This window comes from Homo sapiens, chromosome 5, assembly GCF_000001405.40.
Source record: "Homo sapiens chromosome 5, GRCh38.p14 Primary Assembly".
NCBI lineage: Eukaryota > Metazoa > Chordata > Mammalia > Primates > Hominidae > Homo > Homo sapiens.
In genome coordinates this window covers 122,080,224-122,100,250 of record NC_000005.10, presented here as the reverse complement: position 1 = coordinate 122,100,250, position 20,027 = coordinate 122,080,224, and the positions used below count along the sequence as shown (strand labels likewise).

Sequence of the window (20,027 nt, the reverse complement as noted above, 5' to 3'; positions counted from 1 at the left end):
TACTAGGCTGAGTACACAGTATAATATATATTTTCAGAGATCTTGTTATTAATAAAATATTGTCATTTTTTTCTATTTACTCATAAACCCAGGTAAAAATCTTGTTGTTAGATACAACACTTAATGATCTAATAATAAAGTTCTTGAGACAGCAATATATAGTAATCTGTGATAAAATATAGATTTCAGCAAGTTTAAGTAGATTCTGATAATCTGTCCATGTGCTACTCAGAGTCTCACACAAGTTTTAAAACTGCTTTCTTGCAATTTATCAAGTTCAAACCAGGTGATATAAAAGACTTTAGTAATTCTAGGACTTTTTTTTTTTTTAAAGATTAGACACCTAAAATCTCAGAAGCACATACACTTTTTCCAAACAGTTGCCAGCTTTCTGAGAGCCATCAGTATCAAAACGACAGGCAGAATTTTTCATGTGGTTACTGACCGCCTGACCCATTCCTTGGCAGGAGTGTTCAAGAGCAGCTGAATCTTGGGGAAAATATACAGAAGATGAATAGAAGATGGTAAAATTCTGGGGGCTCCAAGCCATCTCAGATTAGCCACTCCCTCTGGCTCCTTCCTTCTCCCCTGGTTTGTAGCAGTGAGTCCCCAGCGTGATCTCTATGTCTGTAAGAGTCTGTGTAGGGACTGCTGTGTGGCCGGAGTGCTAGTGTGTCTAAGCAGATGCAGGGGCAGGCATTCCCTGTATGTCTCCTTGCCTTCTTGTGGACCTGGTCTTCCAGCCAGCGCCTGGTCCAAAGGCTGCTTACCTGGTGATAATAGTGGGATCTTGCATTCCTTTTCACCTATTTCCCTATTCAGCCTATTTGCCCTTTTCCAATGAGCTATCCCAATGCCATAAGAGATAGAATCTACCACATCTTATCCTGCCACACCCCACCCTAGCACTGCCCTCTACACTGGGGTTGCCTTACAAGTGGGAGCAAGAGAGATAGTTGGCTGTGGGGAGATGGGGTCCAGGTCACCTGAGCGGCAGAGTTCTCCTTGTCCTCTCATTCTACTTCCATCCCAGCTTGCTCAGCCCTGAGTCATCTGACCTCTGACGCCTCCAGTCTTCGTGCTTTCTAACAGTCAGCATGACAGAGTTGCTACAGCCCCTGCTTCTGCTCTTTCTGGCTGTATGACACTGGAAATCAGTTCACCTGAGGCTCTTTTCTCATTTATAAACAGAGGAATAGTAGTTCCTACCTTCTTGGGTTGGTGATTATATGAGGTACTGCATGTATAGCACTTACCATAGTGCTTGGCAAAAATAAGTTCTCAATCAAAGTTTAGTTTTACCTCGTATTATTTCCCATTTAATTTTTTATTAATGCCTACTTTTGTTTTCCCAGTGATCAGCCACGTATGGTCTTCACATGGTCATGGATTCTTGTATAGCATTGGCTGCAGCAGTCACATGAAAACCACTCACACTTTAACCTGCAGGAAGCATTCATGAGTGGTTTATAGACAGACTTGATAATTCTGATTTTTTAGGAAAATTGGTCTCAGAAAGCAGCCCATTTTTTATTGACTCAACAACACACTGAAATTTCTAAAATAAAAAAAGCAATATATTTACTAATAAAAAATATTTTTAGGCTAGGCCTGGTGGCTCATGCCTGTAATTCCAGCACTTTACGAAGCCAAGGCAGGAGGACTGCTTGAGCCCAGGAGTTCAAGACCAGCCTGGGCAACATAGTGAAACCTCATCTCTACAGAAAAAAAAAAAATTAAAAATTAGCCAAGCATGGTGGTGTGCACCTGTGGTCCTAGGTACTTTGGAGGCTGAGGTGGGAGGATCACTTGATCCCAGGAGGTTGAGGCTGCAGTGAGCCGTGATCATGCCCCTGCACTCCAGGCTGGGTGACAGAGCAAGATCCTGTCTTTAAAAATAAAAATAGGCCGGGTGCGGTGGCTCACACCTGTAATCCCGGCACTTTGGAAGGCCAAGGCGGGTGGATCACCTGAGGTCAGGAGTTTGAGACCAGCCTGGCCAACATGGTGAAACCCTGTCTTTACTAAAAATATAAAAAGTTAGCCAGGCATGGTGGTGGGTGCCTGTAATCTCAGCTACTCGGGAGGTTGAGGCAGGAGAATTGCTTGAATCCGGGAGAGAGAAGTTGCAGTGAGCTGAGATCACACCATTGCATTCCAGCCTGGGCAACAAGAGCGAAACTCTCTCTAAAATAAATAAATAGATAAATAAGTAAATAATTTTAAACAACTATTTTAAAGCTTATTATTTTTGAACCAAAAACAATAAAGGCAGTTAAAAGAATAACTATTATTTTAACTTTCCTTCACATATACAAAAGGGTTTTTTGTTGTTGTTGATCACTAACTGAATTACATTAAAAAAATACTGTTGCTAATATAATTAAGTATGGTAATCCATGCCTGTATTACCCACATGGGATACCAACCCATTAAGAAGCAATGTTGCAGGTGTGAGTAGCCCTACACCCCATCAGATTGACAGCAGCATGAGACTTGGTAAAAACATAAGTTTCTCCTGGTGGTCTTCCTGCCTTTACATGATGTGCAAGCCTCAGTGTCTCTCAATTACAAGCTGTAATAAAAAATAAAACAAATCCAACTGTGAGGGAGCAGCTTGAAAGGCACTTAGGAATGACTGGACCCTCAGGGGCACATGGCTAATAGAACGGGTAAGATGTCCTCTGTGAGAACCTTCTCAAGAAGGCAATCTTGAATACTTGTTAAAATTGTGGGTTTTGTCATCTGGATGGGAAAACAAAAAGAGATTCTAATCTCATGCTTTACACAAAAAAGAATGCCATACTTTCAAATACAACAATAGAAACCAGAAACATACAAACATTTCTGGAAACCAGAAAAAAATTATGGGAGAATATTTTTGCACTCTTAAAATAGGAAAGGCTTTCTTAAGCCTGTCAGAAAAGTGAAAGATCATTAAAAAATTAAAAATAAAAAAATAAAGTCACTCACATAAAAGTTAAGTAAACTTTACTTTCTGCCTGGAATAAAAGTACTATAGCCAAGGGAGAGCAATATTTCAACATACAAGACAATAAAAAAAAAGCTTATTCCATTATACAGTTAACTACCGTAAATAAAATGGAAAGGACTCACAATCCAGGAGACGAAGGATATCACACTTAACAGGAACAAAAATACAAATTACTTTTACAGTTAAAAAAGGCTCAAAATAACCCATAATAAAAATGCAAATTAAAGCTATAATGAAACATCTATTTCTATTTATCTAGTTGATGAAGATCAAAACATCTGACAAAACCCTGAGTTGGGGAGGATACAGAAAATCGGCGCTTTCGTATGCTGTTGATGAGTGTGCAAATAATTCTCTTGGAGGGCAATTTGGCAGTGACTAGCAAATGAAAAGTGCACATATCTTTTTATAAAAAATTCTCTTTCTAGGAATTTATCATGCTTAGATGAGTAGGAACTCAAAGCTACATATACAAGTGATACAGCTCGGATGAGGGGAGGAACACCAGGGTTCTAGGTCCTCATGCCGGTTTAGATAAAAGGACATGGACACACGTGGAGTGGGTTAAGGAGCAGAGAGCTTAATAGGCAAGATAGAAGAGAGAAAGCAGAAGATAGAAGCTCCTCCCTGCAGAGACAGAGGGATGGGGGCTCCAAAGCGAAAGAGGAGACCCCAAGTGGGACAGAAACCAGCCAGGTGATTCAACAAGCCATAGGGACAGATTTTGTGATTGATTTTTGGCTACATCAGCTCAGCAGCCACAAGAAAGAAGATTCTTTTAAGGCTAAAAATTCCCTGGCTCTCTCACCACATTGAATGGATAATTTAAAGCCCTGAATTTCCCATTTCTTTTTAAAATCTCTCCAGCGCAGTTTGCAGCAGCCAGTTTATCCTTATTCATCATATCCTCCTGCTATGCCACAACCTTTATCACTCAGTCCGTCAAAGCCAGGTTTTCTATAGGCACTCATTACAGGTGATACACCACCAGCTGCCAAAAATTACTATTTTACTGTTTCACCACCTGCTGCCAAAAATTACAATTATCCCCTCATTTAAAGGTAAGTAGGGTGCAGTGGCTCACGCCTATAATCCCAGCACTTTGGGAGGCCAAGGTGGGCGGATCAACTGAGGTCAGGAGTTCGAGACTAGCGTGACCAACATGGAGACACCTCGTCTCTACTAAAAATACAAAATTAGCTAGGCGTGGTGGCGCATGCCTGTACTCCCAGCTACTCAGGAGGCTGAGGCAGGAGAATTGTTTGAACCCAGGAGGTGGAGGTTGCGGTGACCTGAGACCATGCCATTGCACTCCAGCCTGGGCAACAAGAGCAAAACTCCGTTTCAAAATAAATAAATAAATAAAAAGGTAAGTACTTCCTTGCTTGCATCAATCACAAGTAGGTTAAATACGTAACCTATTGTCTCAAACATTGTTATCAATCAAGATTCAGTTACAGATAACAAAAAACACTCTATTTTAAGCAGAAAATAATTTAAATTGAGAAATTACATTCTTATAAAATTATTGAAAGAGATGGAGTATTGGAGTCTAGCCTGGTCTCCAGAAATAATTGCAGGAAGATTCTGTAACACTGGCTTACCAAGGGAGCTGCTACCTCGGCCACATTTTCAGTGGAAGCTGGGAATCTGGAAGCTGTCCCTGGAACTATGGCTCCAGTAACACATACTTTAGCTGGAATCCAGGGATCTGCAAGGTGCAACTGTCAGCTCCAGAGATGTCCTGCACCTCCTAAACCCTGCAGTACACACTAGACCCACAAAGCTATTGAATGGACCCTGGAATGTCCTCTGCAGCTGAAAATCTCAATTCCCGCATAATCATGCTTGTCAGCAAAATCAGCAAAAACTGAAAAAGAAGAAACTCTGTCTTACTTCAGTTTCAAATTTTGTACATCTCGTTTGGTTTCAGAACCTAATTCTTGAACTCTGGCTTCAGGGCACTCTGAGAGGTGTGGATTTTAGCTGTCCTACCTCTGGAGTTTAGGAAGGCATGCAAGGGGGGGACACATGCCCCATAAAGTTTCAAATCAAAACGCTAACATTTTGTTTAAGCTAATTTTAAACTCAAAATTTAGCTTATTAACATTTTGGAAATATGAAGCATCCAAGAAGTATGTTTATTACAAATCCAAGCTTGTCAGAATTTTTCTATGCACTTGGGCACATCTGAAGTAACACTTTGGAGATGAACCAACTTATTCACAAATGATTTTTAAAAGTTAACTTTTGTACTTAGGCTGTCCCATTTGCAATTTATTTGCTTGCATTTATATTCTGCATTTCTACACATTGGTTCTACACATTTCCATCTTGGAAAGAATAACAAGGAAATTCAGTTTCAACTCAAAGAAAGGATCTGGGCATTGTGGCTGAGAACTGTGCCTGCTGTGTTGCTTGGTTGAGCAGTGATCCTGTCGCCCTCTGCTCCCTAAATTTGCCTCAGTTCCTCATAGCTTTGTGGTTGTTTTCAGTACATGTGTGTTCTCAAATAACTGACAACTCCCACCCACTTCCTAACCTGACTTAAATGTGGACTTTGCATTTATATATTCTAAAGACTATAATTTAATAGATGGTTTATCACCATGGTATTTAAAAAAGCATGAAGATAAAAGGGAAAAAGAAACAAACGGGCCTGGAGTGGTGGCTCACATCTGTAGTCCCAGCACTTAGGGATGCTGAGGCAGGTGGATCATCTGAGGTCAGAAGTTCAAGACCAGCCTGGGCAACATGGTGAAACCTCGTCTCTACTAAAAAAAAAAAAAAAATGCAAAAATTAGCCGGATGTGGTGGCAGGAGCCTGTAATCTCAACTAGCTGGGAGGCTGAGGCAGGAGAATCGCTTGAACTCTGGAGGCGGAGGTTGCAGTGAGCCAACATTGCACCACTGCACCCCAACCTGGGTGACAGTGAGACCTTGTCTCAAAAAAAAAAAAGAAAAAGAAAAAAGAAACAAACCATTGGTTAGGAGAAAGGGGGAACAAATCGCATAGGTAATGAAATTTAATGTTCAATTTGAATAAAACATACACCCTATGTTTCTCAGATCTGCCGAGTGAATCCACCTATAAATCTCTTCTTCTAGCATATAGGCTTGAACTAACCCACCAACTTTCCAAAAGACTAGTGACTCCACCCAGCTACTCATTCCAGAGTTATAGTTATTGAGTCAAATGCCTTGGCCATTCTAAGAAAATTCCACAAGTAACAATTACTGTACTTGGCGGAAAGCCTGGTAATACCCAGCTAGAACTTTATATTTTTGTTGAATTAAAAATACATTTCTAAAATATTTTTCAGATTTATTGCTACTTAGGAAAGTGTATTATCCAAATATAAAGTGAACAAAGAGCTAAAAGAAGTAATTTAGGTTAGCAGATAATAACATTCGAAATCGTTATACTAGATAATTGTATTCTAAAGATAATTGAGTTCTGCCCCCAAATGGCCTATTCCTCTACAGTCAATAAAAGTATTTGGAATCTTTACTAAGTCTCTTGGTGGGGAAAATGCCTGAAAACAGACAGCATACTGTTAATATAAGCCACATGACTTAACATTCTTTGCTGGATAGTTTTCTTATTCCTCATCTCTTTACAAACTCAACTCAGTCCTCTAAAATGATCCAATCACTGGCACCCTTTCTCTCTCATCTTCCTTCCAGAACTGTCCTTTTACTAAGACCACTTCTTTCCCAATAGCTCCGGCTGCCCACAGTGACTTTCCCTGCTGTACGCAGCCCTCTGTCAAGTTTATTCTCCTCCTGTGTTTTGATTGTTTTTCTCATACGAACTATCTCATCACCCCACATTCTTCATGGAAAATGAAATCCAGCCAGTAAGAATTTTTTTCTCCTTGGAAGAAAACAAAGGGGCAAGAGAGACTATAAATGTTTGCAAAAATACTCTGTCCTCTGTCACCCCTTTCCCCCATTAGTTCTTCATGCAGCTCTACCAAGAAGAAAATGCCGTATGTGTTCGGACACCACATTCCCTCCTCTCATCACTCTAACATGCTTTTTCTCTTCTTCACCTAGGTCAGGCAGGCTTACCAACAGGTACCCTGGAAAGCCACCACACCTATGTCAGTCCAAGTTTCCACTAGAACTTTGGAAAGGCAATATAGTCATCTCTTGGTACTTATGGGGGACTCATTCCAGGACCTCTCACAGATAACAAAATCAGTGGATACCCAACTCTCTGATATAAAATGGCATAGTATTGACATATAACCTATGCATATCCCCCCATATACTTTAGATCATTTTAAGATTCTTTATAATATCTAATACAATGTAAATGCTACCTAAATAAGAAAAAAAGTCTACATATTCAGTACAGACACATTTTTTTTCCTAAACATTTTCCTCCATCAGTGGTTGTTTAATCCATGGATGCGGAACCCATAAACAGGGAGGGCTGACTGTATATCAGCATTGGGATTTTACTCCCCACCCACCCAGGGTCATTGTTTTCGTAATATGAGGACGAAGATAACTTCACGGAGTTCTTTCTATTACCTGAGCAGTTGATCGCTAGATGAGCTGCACCAACAAAACTAAAGCAGCATGATGCAGGCCAAACCACCAAAGTTTTGGTAAATCCAAAGTGGCCTAGGAAAAGTTTTCTGCCGTCCTGGGTACTATAAAATGTAGAGAACTGAAGAGCTGAAAATTCATACTGAAAATAAATAAAAGCACACCGTCCCCAGTAAAGCCCCTGACAAGACGGGCTCCTCAGGGTCAGAAACCTCACTGGAGAGCATCCCACTTCAAGAGCCTGAGTCAGCCTTGCTGCAACCCTTCCTCTTCTCATCTTCCCCAGTTCTGGGGTTCAGGTTCCATCCATTTGTAATGCACCGGCAGGGCAGCTACACTCATCCCTTGTTCCACCTCGGTGCTGTTCAGCCTTACCACAAAAAATCAGGGAGATTCTTGAGGGGCTGTGATAAAGTTGAACCAGCCGACTGTTTTTTTCAAGTGTAAGACAGTTTAAGAATTCTTCATGACCAATCTTTCCCTCAGGATCTTGATCCCGGCAATTCTGAGCCTAAGTCATACTCTATTGCCCCCTAGAGGATTACTCATTTTTGTCGTTTACTGTAGGAATTAAAAGGAGAGCTTCTACCCACTCAGTTATGAACTTGACATATGAATTCCAGTAAGTCTCCATCCTACCATACATTCATTCTAGAGAACTGAGGAAGTCCACCGTGAAAGGAAAGTATTTCGTGGTTTTGAGTTCACTAGACCTAAAGAGAATATTTTTCTGTTTCCAAGGATTTATCCCAATGCAGTTTTAAGTCATTCACTCCCCACATAAAACATTCCATTTTTTGGGTTCCTGGTGAGGTACCTCCCATGAATTTCTCAAATTCATACTAGCAAGTAACTTCTGTCACTAAATCCTAAAACCATTTGTCTTGAAGTTTCCCAGTAAAGAGACATGGGGTTCTCGGAAGAGGAGTAGAGACATTCAACTTATAATAGCATGTTTACCAAGATCCTCTTTTCTCCCAGGAATTATTATAAGAAGTTGACAAAAATTTTAAAAATTGAGAGTCTGTTGAGAATGGATTAAAAACCAACTTTATGACTCAATATCACAAGTGAATTTTTTAGACTTCTTTAATAGATAGCCTTACACGATGCTGCATACATCTAGGCCTACATCGAGAACATCCTATCCCCAAAATTAATGCTTAGCTTCAGTAAATCTCCATCACATTTCGTTGGCTTTTGGTATTATTCCAAAAACCATTGCCACTTGTGTTGGGGGCCATTTACCCCTTCATTACTATTCTGATAGGCATAGGGTGTGTATATCTAGAGTTTATTATAATTTAGGCTCAAAATCACAAGAAGTAGTCCCTAATGTGTAACCCAAATATAACTTGGGCTCCATACCAACCCAGCAGAATGTCTTTTCAATAAACCAGTGGTTCCCAAACCCCAGGACACGGACCAGTACCATCCCTGTTAGGAACTGGGCTGCACAGCAGGAGGTGAGCAGTGGGCCAGCAAGTGAAGCTTCATCTGTATTTACAGACACTCCCCACGTCAAAAATTCCATTTTTTGGGTTCCTGGTGAGGTACCTCCCATGAATTTCTCAAATTCATACTAGCAAGTAACCTCTGTCAGTAAATCCTAAAACCATTTGACTTGAAGTTTCCCAGTAAGGAGACATGGGGTTCTCGGAAGGGGAGTAGAGACATTAAACTTACAATAGCATGTTTACCAAGATCCTCTTTCCTCACATTACCACCTGAGCTTTGCTTCCTGTCAGATCAATCATGGCATTAGATTCTCATATGAGCGTGAACCCCATTGTGAACTGTGCATATGAGGGATTTAGGTTGCATGCTCCTTATAATAATCTAATGCCTGATGGTCTGTCACTGTCTCCCATCACCCCCAGATGGGACTGTACAGTGGCAGGAAAACAACTGATTTTACATTTTGGTGAGTTGTATAATTATTTCATTATATATTACAATGTAATAATAATAGAAATAAAGTACACAATAAATTTAATGTACTTGACTCATCCTGAAACCATTCTCCACACCCTAACCTTGGTCCATGGAAAAACTGCCTTCCATGAAACTGGTCCCTAGTGCCAAAAACGTTGGGAACCGCTGCAATAAACAATAGACAATCATCCTAATAGTAATTAAGCAATTAGAAACTTCACTCAGTCTCCAAGAAAAATGCCAAAATAGAGAGCACATACTTAAGCCTGTCTTCATTAAACATGTCTTTAGGCTTAATCCTCAGTGTCAGTCTCTAGCTAATGTGAAATAAACATCGAATATTTAAAACAGATCACCATTCTCTTACAAAGTGTTATGGTCTAGTCTCTCAGAAATTAACATGGGGGCCATTATGAAAAACATATCTTTAAAAAAGATGATTGTGATTATGTAATATATTATAGCAGTATTTTATTTTGTAGTTACTTAGTATTAATGGGAAAATATATTATTTACTTCCAGAAATATCAACTTGATAACATCCATTAATAATAAGGAAATGATTGAATTGTGTCATTGTGTCAGTTTTGTTCTCACTAATCACTTGTTTATATAACTGATTATTAGTACAGGGTTATAGCATAACACAAGTGTGTTAATAAAACAGTAACTTCTGTTTCTGTTTTTTGTTGCTGTTCCTATAGCTAGTCTTAGGTTTTGTTTTGTTGTTGTTTTTTTTCTTTTTCTGAAAACCTTTAATGGAGACACTTAGGATAAAAAGCCTATTTGATTGTGTGCAAGAGTGTTAACATAAATAAAGTGTTCTGTAGTAATTTGTGGACTTCCTTTGTGGTTTGCTTGAAAGATTACTAACTGCTTATTAGCACTTCACATATGAAAATATCACCATTTGGACTGCAGCTGGAGCTGCTTTTAGCTGGCGCCCTGTTATCTCCCAAACTGAGTCACAGCATTTTGAAGAACCCTATCTCAACACTCATGCATGCATTCTGCCACATAAACCTTAGAATTTAGTGTTAGATCATCTTAAAGTATTTCCTCTCATCTCATTCACAATTTGCCACGCAGTCATTGTGGAAATACCTAAACACCATTCTCAACACAGGGTACTTTATAAAATAACCAGGCTCCTAACAAGATGTAAAAAAGACTGCTTAGTTACATGAATTATTCAATTTACAAATGAAAATTTTCAATGGGATAGCCTTAAATCTATTTACTCTACCACAAAACTGTTTTGTTTACAATGAAGTTACCTTAACCCCTCTAAAATTAAGAAATGTAGATTTTTGGTGCATGTAAATGTGAGGGCCTGAATAAAGCCAGATTGGTGTGGTCAAGCATTGGGCAAGATTCCCCATTAACTTATGCCAAGACTGTCATTTTAATGAGATTAAGGTTTCAATTTCTTCAGCCCAAGACCTCTCTGGAGCACACACTCTGCTATTCTGGTTAAATTATGCCTATTTCTCTCCAAAATGAGTAAATACTTAAGTTCCCATGCTGAGAGAGCTGAAGTGAATTTTCATTTGGCACACATATTCTGAGAGTGTAATGCATGTTTGTTGAAACCATGCTGAGCTGGAACAAAGTGTCTTTATGATTACTACTTATTAACATGTATTAAGAACAGTTATTGTACTTGGTCTACACACAATACATAAAGGAAGTCATCGTTCCTACAGATGGAAATATACAGCTTGGATGAATACGTTACAGATAAAATTTATATCATGGAAATTACAATTTAGTTGAGAAGACAGACATTGAATACATAATTACAGGTGAGGGTGGCTTTACAAAGAAGTGCAGTATGCTATGTAAGGGCAAAGAGAAGGGGCTGACTTTGTCTCCAGAAAGCAATGACATTTAAACTGAGGCTTGAAGAGTGAGATGAGGTTGGCTAGCAAAAGAGTGGAGGAAAAAGCAGTTCATGAAAAGGGAATAGCAAAGGAAAGGCCCTGAGGCTCTCAAAGAACATGAGAGTTTGGTCTGGAACCTGCAATTAGTAGTAGTGTAAAGGAGGTAAGGCTGTGTAGGGAGATGAGGGTGCTGGTGGTATTGAACCTGCAGAAGTAGTCAAGAGTGGGGAGCATTAGACCATAGTATAGATTGTTTACTTTACTCAAAGGTAGTGAGATTCCCTAAATTGTTTTGATGACAGAAATGGCATGGTCAGATTTGTGTTTATGAAAACATCATCCTAGGTGCAATATGGAGTATCTGAAGGGTGGGTGGACATGAGCGGATGTGGGGAAATTGGTTAGGAGGTTATTGCCTAACAGAGAGATGGCTGGTGACTTGCACAGAGGTGTTTGAAATGTCCAAGGAGGACCAGAAATGTCCAAGAAATATAAAGGAGGCGCAATTAACCATATTTGAAAATGGATTGGATGTTGGGGTAAAAGACAGAGTGACCTGAGCGATGAGTCTCAGGTTTCTGGAATAGTCAGCTGGGGTTATGGTTACTAAAATAAAGAACAACAAAGAAAAAACCTTGGTGCAGACAATCAGTTTCGACATGTAATGTTGCATATTAAGGGTTTTAAAATACACACACACAGAGCTGTATGTTTGTATGAATGCACTATAATATTTTATTTAAAATTATATCCCTTTCATCTATTATTAAATGAATAATGCTTTCATATATACAAATATTTCTATCTTCTGTGAAGCAGCTCTGCTACTGATTCTATGACAGGTTAACTTTATTTAAAAAGCGAATAAAGTATGCTATCCTTTTTGCTTTTAAATTTTTATGAGTCACCATAATTGTTACAAAAGTATTAATCTTTTAAATAGCAACTGAATATTTTGGAAGTATCTAGTTATTTCTAATATTGTGAGATGTAAAACAAATTATTCATGTTCTATTCAATAGGAATTTCTGTGGTCAAAATTATATTCCCCAATAAATTGATCTACTCACAAATAGAATAAAATATATATCACATATAATTCTGAAACAAAGATATAGCTGAATGCAGTTATATGAGGGAGCCCAGGTGATAATAGCAGAAGAACAACTCAGCTATCCTACAGGATTGTGAAATAATATTATGTGTTTTATTTTAAGGCACTAAATTTTGAGATGATTTGTTACATAGCAGCGGTTAACTGTTATGGCCCTGTTTTTTTCATTGTCTTTTTTCCAAAAGTCTTTATATAGAATCATTCCTTGTGTCTCTTGATCTTGTTTTCTTATTTATATCCTTCAGCTCTCTTTTGAGGTCTTTTACTATTCTCCTCCTTAAATTTTGATGAGAGAAAGTTTTTAAGAGGATATAAAGTCAATATATAAAATAAATTGTCTTTCTATAAACTAGTAACAACAACAATAAGCTTAAACTTAAACATTTTCCTCTATGATAATTTTAAAACAAATAAAATACTTAGAAAATAATTAACAAAAGACATGCAAGCTTTCTAGATTAAATACTATAAGATATTGCTGAGAGAAGTTAAAGAAAACCTGAATAAAAGGAGCAATATACCACGTTCATGGATTGGAATATTAATATTGTTAAAATGTAAATTGTCTCCAAATTTACCTATAGATTTAATACAGCCTGAGTCAGAATTCCAGCAGTCTTTTAAATGGAAATTGACAGGCTATTATTAAAATGTATATAGAAAAGCAAAGGATCTAAAACAGAATAGTTTTGGAAAAAAACATGAAGTTGGAAGACTTTCACTACCTGATTTGAAGACTTACTAGAAAGCTACAATAAACAAGACAATATGGTATTGGTATAGGAATAGGTAAATAGATTAGTGAAACAGAATAGAAAGTTCTGTTTCACTGATTTGTTATATCTATATTTGTTATAGACCCACACATATAAAGTAGATTGATTTTTGACAAAGGTATTAAGGAACACCTTAGAGAAATACTAAACCTTTCAAAAAACAGTTCTGAATCAACTGGATATTCATGTGGAAAAAGATAAACCTCAACTCCTACTTCATACCATATACAAAGTATTTTGAAATGGATCATAGACCTAAAGATAAAGCTAAAATTAGAAAACTTCTAGAGAAAAATATGGAAGAAAATCTCATGGCCTTGGGCTAAAAAATGATTTCTTAGGATACAAAGGACACCAATAGTGAAAGAGAGCAAATTGATACTGGATATATCAAAATTACAAACTCTATTCTGCAAAAGACATCATTAAGAAAATGAAAAGTTAAGTCGACAGACTGAGAGAAAATATTTGTAATGCATTTATCTTAAGTAAGTCTGATATCCTGAATGTATAAAAAACTTTTACATCTCAATAAGAATACAAAAAAAATTAAAAATTGGGAAAAATTTGAACAGATATACCATAAATGTGTGAAAATGAAAAAAATGCTTAAAATCTTTAGTCACTAAAGAAATGCAAATTAAAATGACAATGAAATATCATTTCACACTCAATGGCTAAATTGGAAAACACTGTAATACCAGAGGTTGATAAGGATGTGAAACAACTAGAACTTTATATGTGGCTGGTGTGAATGTAAAAATAATACAACTAACTATAAAACGATTTGACAATTTTGTGTAAAATTAAACATGTACTTACTCTAAAGATGCAGTAATTCTATCTCCATTTACAAAAAGGAAATGAAAATATACATCCATAGGATAATTTGTAGATGAATGTTCATCGCAGCTTTATTCATAATGGCCCCAATCTGGGGGGAAATTCCCCCCCCCCCAACAAAATGAACAAATAAACCGATTATGATATGTTCATAGCATGAAATACTACTCATCAAGATTGAGCAACAACATGGACGAATCTTACAGACATTACGCTGAACCAAAGAATAGACACAAGAGAAGAGCTGCTGTAAAATTCCTACTAACTTGAAGTATTGGAGCAAATAAAACATCGAGGTGAAAAAAATCAAAACTGTGGTTACCTGGGGCAGGGGTAGAGTGGGCTCAAGAAGACTTTGTAAAATTATGGAAAAATTCTGTATCAGGCTTGTGGTACTGGCTACAAGGGCATATACATTTTAAAAAAATTCATCAAACTGCACACTTGAAGGTTGTACGTTTTATTTTGTATAAATCATATCTCAATAATTTCTTACTGATTTCTTTTTTTAAAAAAGCCTGCCTGCCTCAAAGTAGCAAAATAGGCACTTTAAGAAGGAAAGAATGTTCCTTTTTCCTTGTTTATAGAAAATGCCTTTTTGCATGATTGTATACAGTTGTCTTTGTCGACTTTTAAATTCTATGTCCAAGTACCAAGTAGTAATAACTACCATTTATTCATTGCCTAACATAAGCTAGATGCTCTGACATGCACTTACAAACATTTCATTCTCACAACAACCCTGAAGATAGATTTTATTATCTTTATTTTTGGTGCCGAAACCCAAGTCTCATAATAGTTAAGTAATTCATCCAAGTACTTATTGTTAGTAAATAGTAGAGGTGAGAGTTATCCAAGGACTGTCTGTCTCCATAGTCAACGTTCTTTCTACTACTTGTCACCTTCCCAGCTAACTTGTATGTCACACGTATCCCACAGCCATTTAGCCATGGGCACTAGAATGACAGTCACTGCTAGTCTAATTATTTAATTGGCCTGGCCACAATCTCCTTGTGATGTAAACTTTAATGAGTAACTCAGCTTATTTTTTCCAGTAATTAAACAAAGAAAGGAAAATGAAAGAAACAACTACTTACCTTTTTTCTACTTCACATAACAAGAATTTAATATCGTGCTTATAGCAGGCTAGACCTGGGTTCAAGATCCAGCTCTGCCAAGTTTTAACTGAGCATGATGCTTTATCTCTCTAAGCTTTATAGATATGTTCCTTATCTATAAAATGAAAATATTAATAACCACCTCATAGGGTTATTGTGAATATAAAAGTGAGGTAATACATTCAAGCACTTTGTATAGTTCCAGGAGCATAGTAAATGGTAAGAAACAGAAGCAATTATTAGTAATGAGAGGACAGGTATTGTCCTGTTAGAGAGGGAGATTAAATTGAGGGAGTTTTTATAATTACTTGTTTTTGCTTATTCTTTAAATTATTTCTTTCCTTGACTAGGCATCTATTTAGCAAATTTGAAAAGACCCTGTATATTCAACTCAATGATTTAGGTATTGGAGACTCCTTAACCACAGATCATTTAAGGTTGTATAACTTCATTTTGAGATTTTCACCTAATATTTTCATTTAATCAATGCATTTATTATTTTTCAATATGCCACTGTACTATAGGCTCTTATGTTAACCATTTCAAAAACTTATATAGACCATTGAGCATAACGTATAAAAGATATCTCCCTGGCAAACAAGCCTGTCTTCTTCACATAAGCAGCCTAGAATAGGGTCAAAGAGTCCAGTGCCATTATGTGACCTATTGGAGACACAGTTCCCACAGACTTTATGACACAGGGCTTAAGTTTTTTTCTCTGTGCCTCCTGAAAGAGATAACTGTGATCCATAAAACAGCTGAAATATTAGAAAATATATAAAAGTCAGAGAAACCCATGTTTACTGCAATATAGTTATAGGACTAATTATAACTAACTGAGCCTGTTTAAAAGACTCACGGCTTCAAGAGCCATTATATAAAAAAATTTCAGGCTGGGCGCAGTGGCTCACACCTGTAATCCCAGCTAGCACTTTGGGAGGCTGAGACAGGCTGATCATTTGAGGTAAGGAGTTCAAGACCATCCTGGCCAACATAGCGAAACACTGTCTCTACTAAAAATAAAAATAAAAAAATTAGCTGAGTGTGGTGTCATGCACCTGTAATCCTGGCTACTGGGGAGGCTGAGGCAGGAGAACCACTTGAACCTGGGAGGTGGAGGTTGCAGTAAGCTGAGATTTCATCACTGTACTCCAGCCTGGGAGACAAGAGTGAAACTCTGCCTCAAAAAAAAAATTCATTGTTTGATTAAGGTGCTATATAATCAAGAGTAACATTCTAATCATAATAGAAAGAAAAAGAACTGATTCTCAAAGTTGACCTCAAGCATAATTGTGAAGCAGGGTTTCACTTTCACAGCCTCATCAACATTTTCCTTCCACTCTGCCTTCACTCCAAACACACACAACACCCTCAAATATTCTGAGATCTATCATTTTACAGGAGAGAGGGACAAAAAATTAAATCTCAGATAATTCCCATTAAGACGTTAGACATTTGTCATCTTGTTTTCCCTGGGCCTTAAGAGAAGGCAATGCACACTGAGTTAAGTTAAAGCAGAGGGATGACTGCCTAGTAGTAAGATTGCAATCATTGCATGTGATAGGCAGAGGAAGAATATAAGTCAGGACCCTCCTGACTTATACCCCACGATTTTGGAGGATCATGCCTAGGTTATATTAAATAACTTTTAGGGTACTGGGACAGTGAAACTGAATCCAGCAAGAGCTTAGGAGCAGAAAAGAAGTCCAGAGGTAGAAATAGGAGCACACTTCATTGTATCAATTAATAACAAAAATGACCCTATACACTCCACAGCATGAAGAACGTTGCCATTTTGCCATTGGACTGTCTATTGGGACCAATTAAATCATGTGGACTTTACTTGTAAGCAATTTTGCCAATTGGCTGAACCCTTTTTTTTTTTTTTTTTTTTTTTTTTGAGACGGAGTCTGGCTCTGTCACCCAGGCTGGAGTGCAGTGGCGCAATCTCGGCTCACTGCAAGCTTCGCCTCCCGGTGAACCCTTATTTTTATTGTTAATAGAACTAATTACTTTGAACTCTGATCCCCTGTACTTCAAAGACCCATTCTCCTATCATATCACCTCTTCTCATTTTCCCATTTTGTTTCAGTAACTAACATTCTTTACTTCATCACACGTGAACATGCATTAAGGACACCAGAATGAAATACTTTTCTATTCCTTAGAGTTAAACTCCACTTTTCCATTCCTTAGGTGGCCCAAAGGAATGGGTAACCAAGCCAGATACATTTAAAAGTTATTATTTCTGGAATTCTTCTACTCAGTTTGTTTATACTTTTTTTTTTTCAGTTTGGTCTTGACACACAGACAAGTGTGTACCCAACTGTCTACTTTTTATATTTGGGTGAATACCTGGAAGTGGTATGTGGCAGAAGGCTAGGATAAGTAGTAGAAGGGAACACAAGCACACTGTTAACTTTAAGGCTAACTTACTCCTCTCCTCCATTTCACTCCAAGTAAAAAGATTTCTAGTTCTGTATTTCACTCTGTTACATTTCTTAATTACTTTTTAAGTATCCTCAATGTCCTAATTCAACACTCAGAGTGTATTCTCCTTTGTGTTATATGGTATTCTGTTTTCTCAATCATTTTCCCCTTACACATCTCCAACTTTCCACTTTTTAAATTTTATTCTCTGTGCTGTTTTGTTTTCAAACCACATGGAACCAAAGCACATACAACCATTACTCTTTACCAAAAAACAAGCTTTGTATGAGCTTCTTGAGCCTCAAACAAAAGAATTTACACTTGAACCTGATTGCTTTGAATGTGGCATTACTGTTCTGGCTTCTGCAATTCAGAGGCCCTGCTTTATGGTTTCGGCTTTCTGTTTTCCATTTATGTGAAATGTCCTACAAAAATAAATGTATTTAACAAATACCAGGAACATAGCATTACAACAACTTTCATTTCTTGGCCAATGGGCCAGACATTGCCATTTAAAGATTTGATATTGATGGGCTAGAAACTCAAAAAAAGAATTAGCAACATTCCTTCCCTTCTCTTATGGCACATACTGCAGAATTGTTCACGAGAAGAAAATCTCATGGTCAAAAGTGAAATCAGCTGTGGATCTTATCAAAGCAAAAAAAGCTGTTTGTATCTTGATGTAGCCGTGGCTTATTATTATTATTGTCATCATCATTATCATCTCAGATTTGAGTGGAAAGGAACTATGGTTTCTCCAATTTTGTGAATAATAGTTTTGTTATTGAACAGGGAACACAATGTGTGGCTAGATTATCTCCCGCAGGGCTTGCAAACACTGTATTGTCCCCAAATGTGGTAGCCACATGTTTGTTTTTCAGCTGACAGAGTCCTAAGCCAGAGAGATTTTAGAGGAAATGAAGGAGAGTGAAAATCAACTAAGCTTTTCATTAGCATGTGTGACAAAGGGTAGTGTGTTTTTCTCTTTTGGTAGTGTGTACATGTTTTAAGAAAATAAATATTGCACATCATTACTGCTCTAGTCAGTTATTTATACTCTGATAAGAATTTTAAAGTCTGTTGGAGCAAATCTGGAAAAAAGGATCAACTTCATTCAGCTCTAAACTTTTAGTGCTCACGTGTGCAAGTCACCATTATGGTATACTACACTTCGGAACATATATATGTGTTCAAGAAATGTTTGTAAAACAAATAAATATGTATTGACTTTCACTATTGGAAAATATGTAGAATAAGAAAATTGCAGTCTGCAGATTCTAACTCACACAAAATGCATCCAATGTTTTAAACTCCAACTAAAAAAATTTGATTAAATATTAATAATCATAATGAACACATTATTATCAATGAATCGAAAGTAATTGGAATAACTTGAATATTCACAAAAATCAGAGATTTTAAAACTAGGAAAAATACTTTAGAAAGAATTTGGTTAATCCTTGAATCCTAAATATAACAAAAGCCAGAGATAGTAAACAAACTGTCCAAAGAGACACAGCTTTTTTTTTTTTTATTGGAGCACTAGGATTGGAAACAGGGCATTTTATCTGGGATCCAGTGTAAACTTTCTACCCTCCCATTAGGGGTGCTGCTTTGGTCTGCCATTCTGACACTATGTCTGGCATAGCAGAGGTCTTCCCTCAGGAACCTGTGGTCAAGTAATAGCAGTTTCAGACTTCTCTAGTCTAGGGAATAAGCTGTTCATGGGCACATGCAGAGCCTTTTTCAGATGAGGGATAATTACATTCTTTCGTTTCCTGCTTCTCCTGTAATTTGGCCTGTCCATTGAAATTATAATCTATACACCTGTTTCTTCTTTTTCACTCCATCTTTCTTAGTGGGTTTGGAGGAGTTGAGTAGTTTAATTTTAAGCACTGCAGCAAGTCTGTAAAATGACAGCTAGGGATGTCTCTGACCCTTATAGGGAGAGTGAGATGTCACTGTTGACTTGCCATCAGTGGGAATTGCATTTGAATGTTCATCTTCAAGTGCAAATTATCATGTAAGTAATAGATTTGCCAACACATTGGCGAGCTTCCATGTGATATTTCCCTGTGACCAAGGATGCTGTGCAGTCATGGGCAGGGGAAATCTAACTTGACTCAAACTGAACCAAACCCATCACCCTGAACTGAGAATAATGTGAACTGATTAGGTGACAGAAGCAGCCACACCCTGCTCAGTGTCAGTCAGCCTTCTTAGGTGGAAAACAACAGAAATTGACTCTGACCATGTTCAGTCACAAAGGAATGTATGGGGGGGATGGGGGGGTGGGTCGGGGAGTAAGAAAGAAAGAAGGAAATGCTGAAGAACCAGGTCTTAGAATGTACTCACCTAAAGTAGCTTGGGTGA

The 20,027-nt window shown here is 37.6% G+C and overlaps 1 annotated feature.

The window, feature by feature from the left end:
• Positions 212-1,411: an enhancer, noted in NCBI's record as "CDK7 strongly-dependent group 2 enhancer chr5:121434535-121435734 (GRCh37/hg19 assembly coordinates)". NCBI's record gives its function as "activates an origin of replication core promoter dependent on BRD2, BRD4, P300/CBP, MED14 and CDK7 cofactors, with strong dependence on CDK7, by STARR-seq in HCT116 cells {active_cell/tissue: HCT116}" and the evidence as "EXISTENCE:reporter gene assay evidence [ECO:0000049][PMID:35650434]".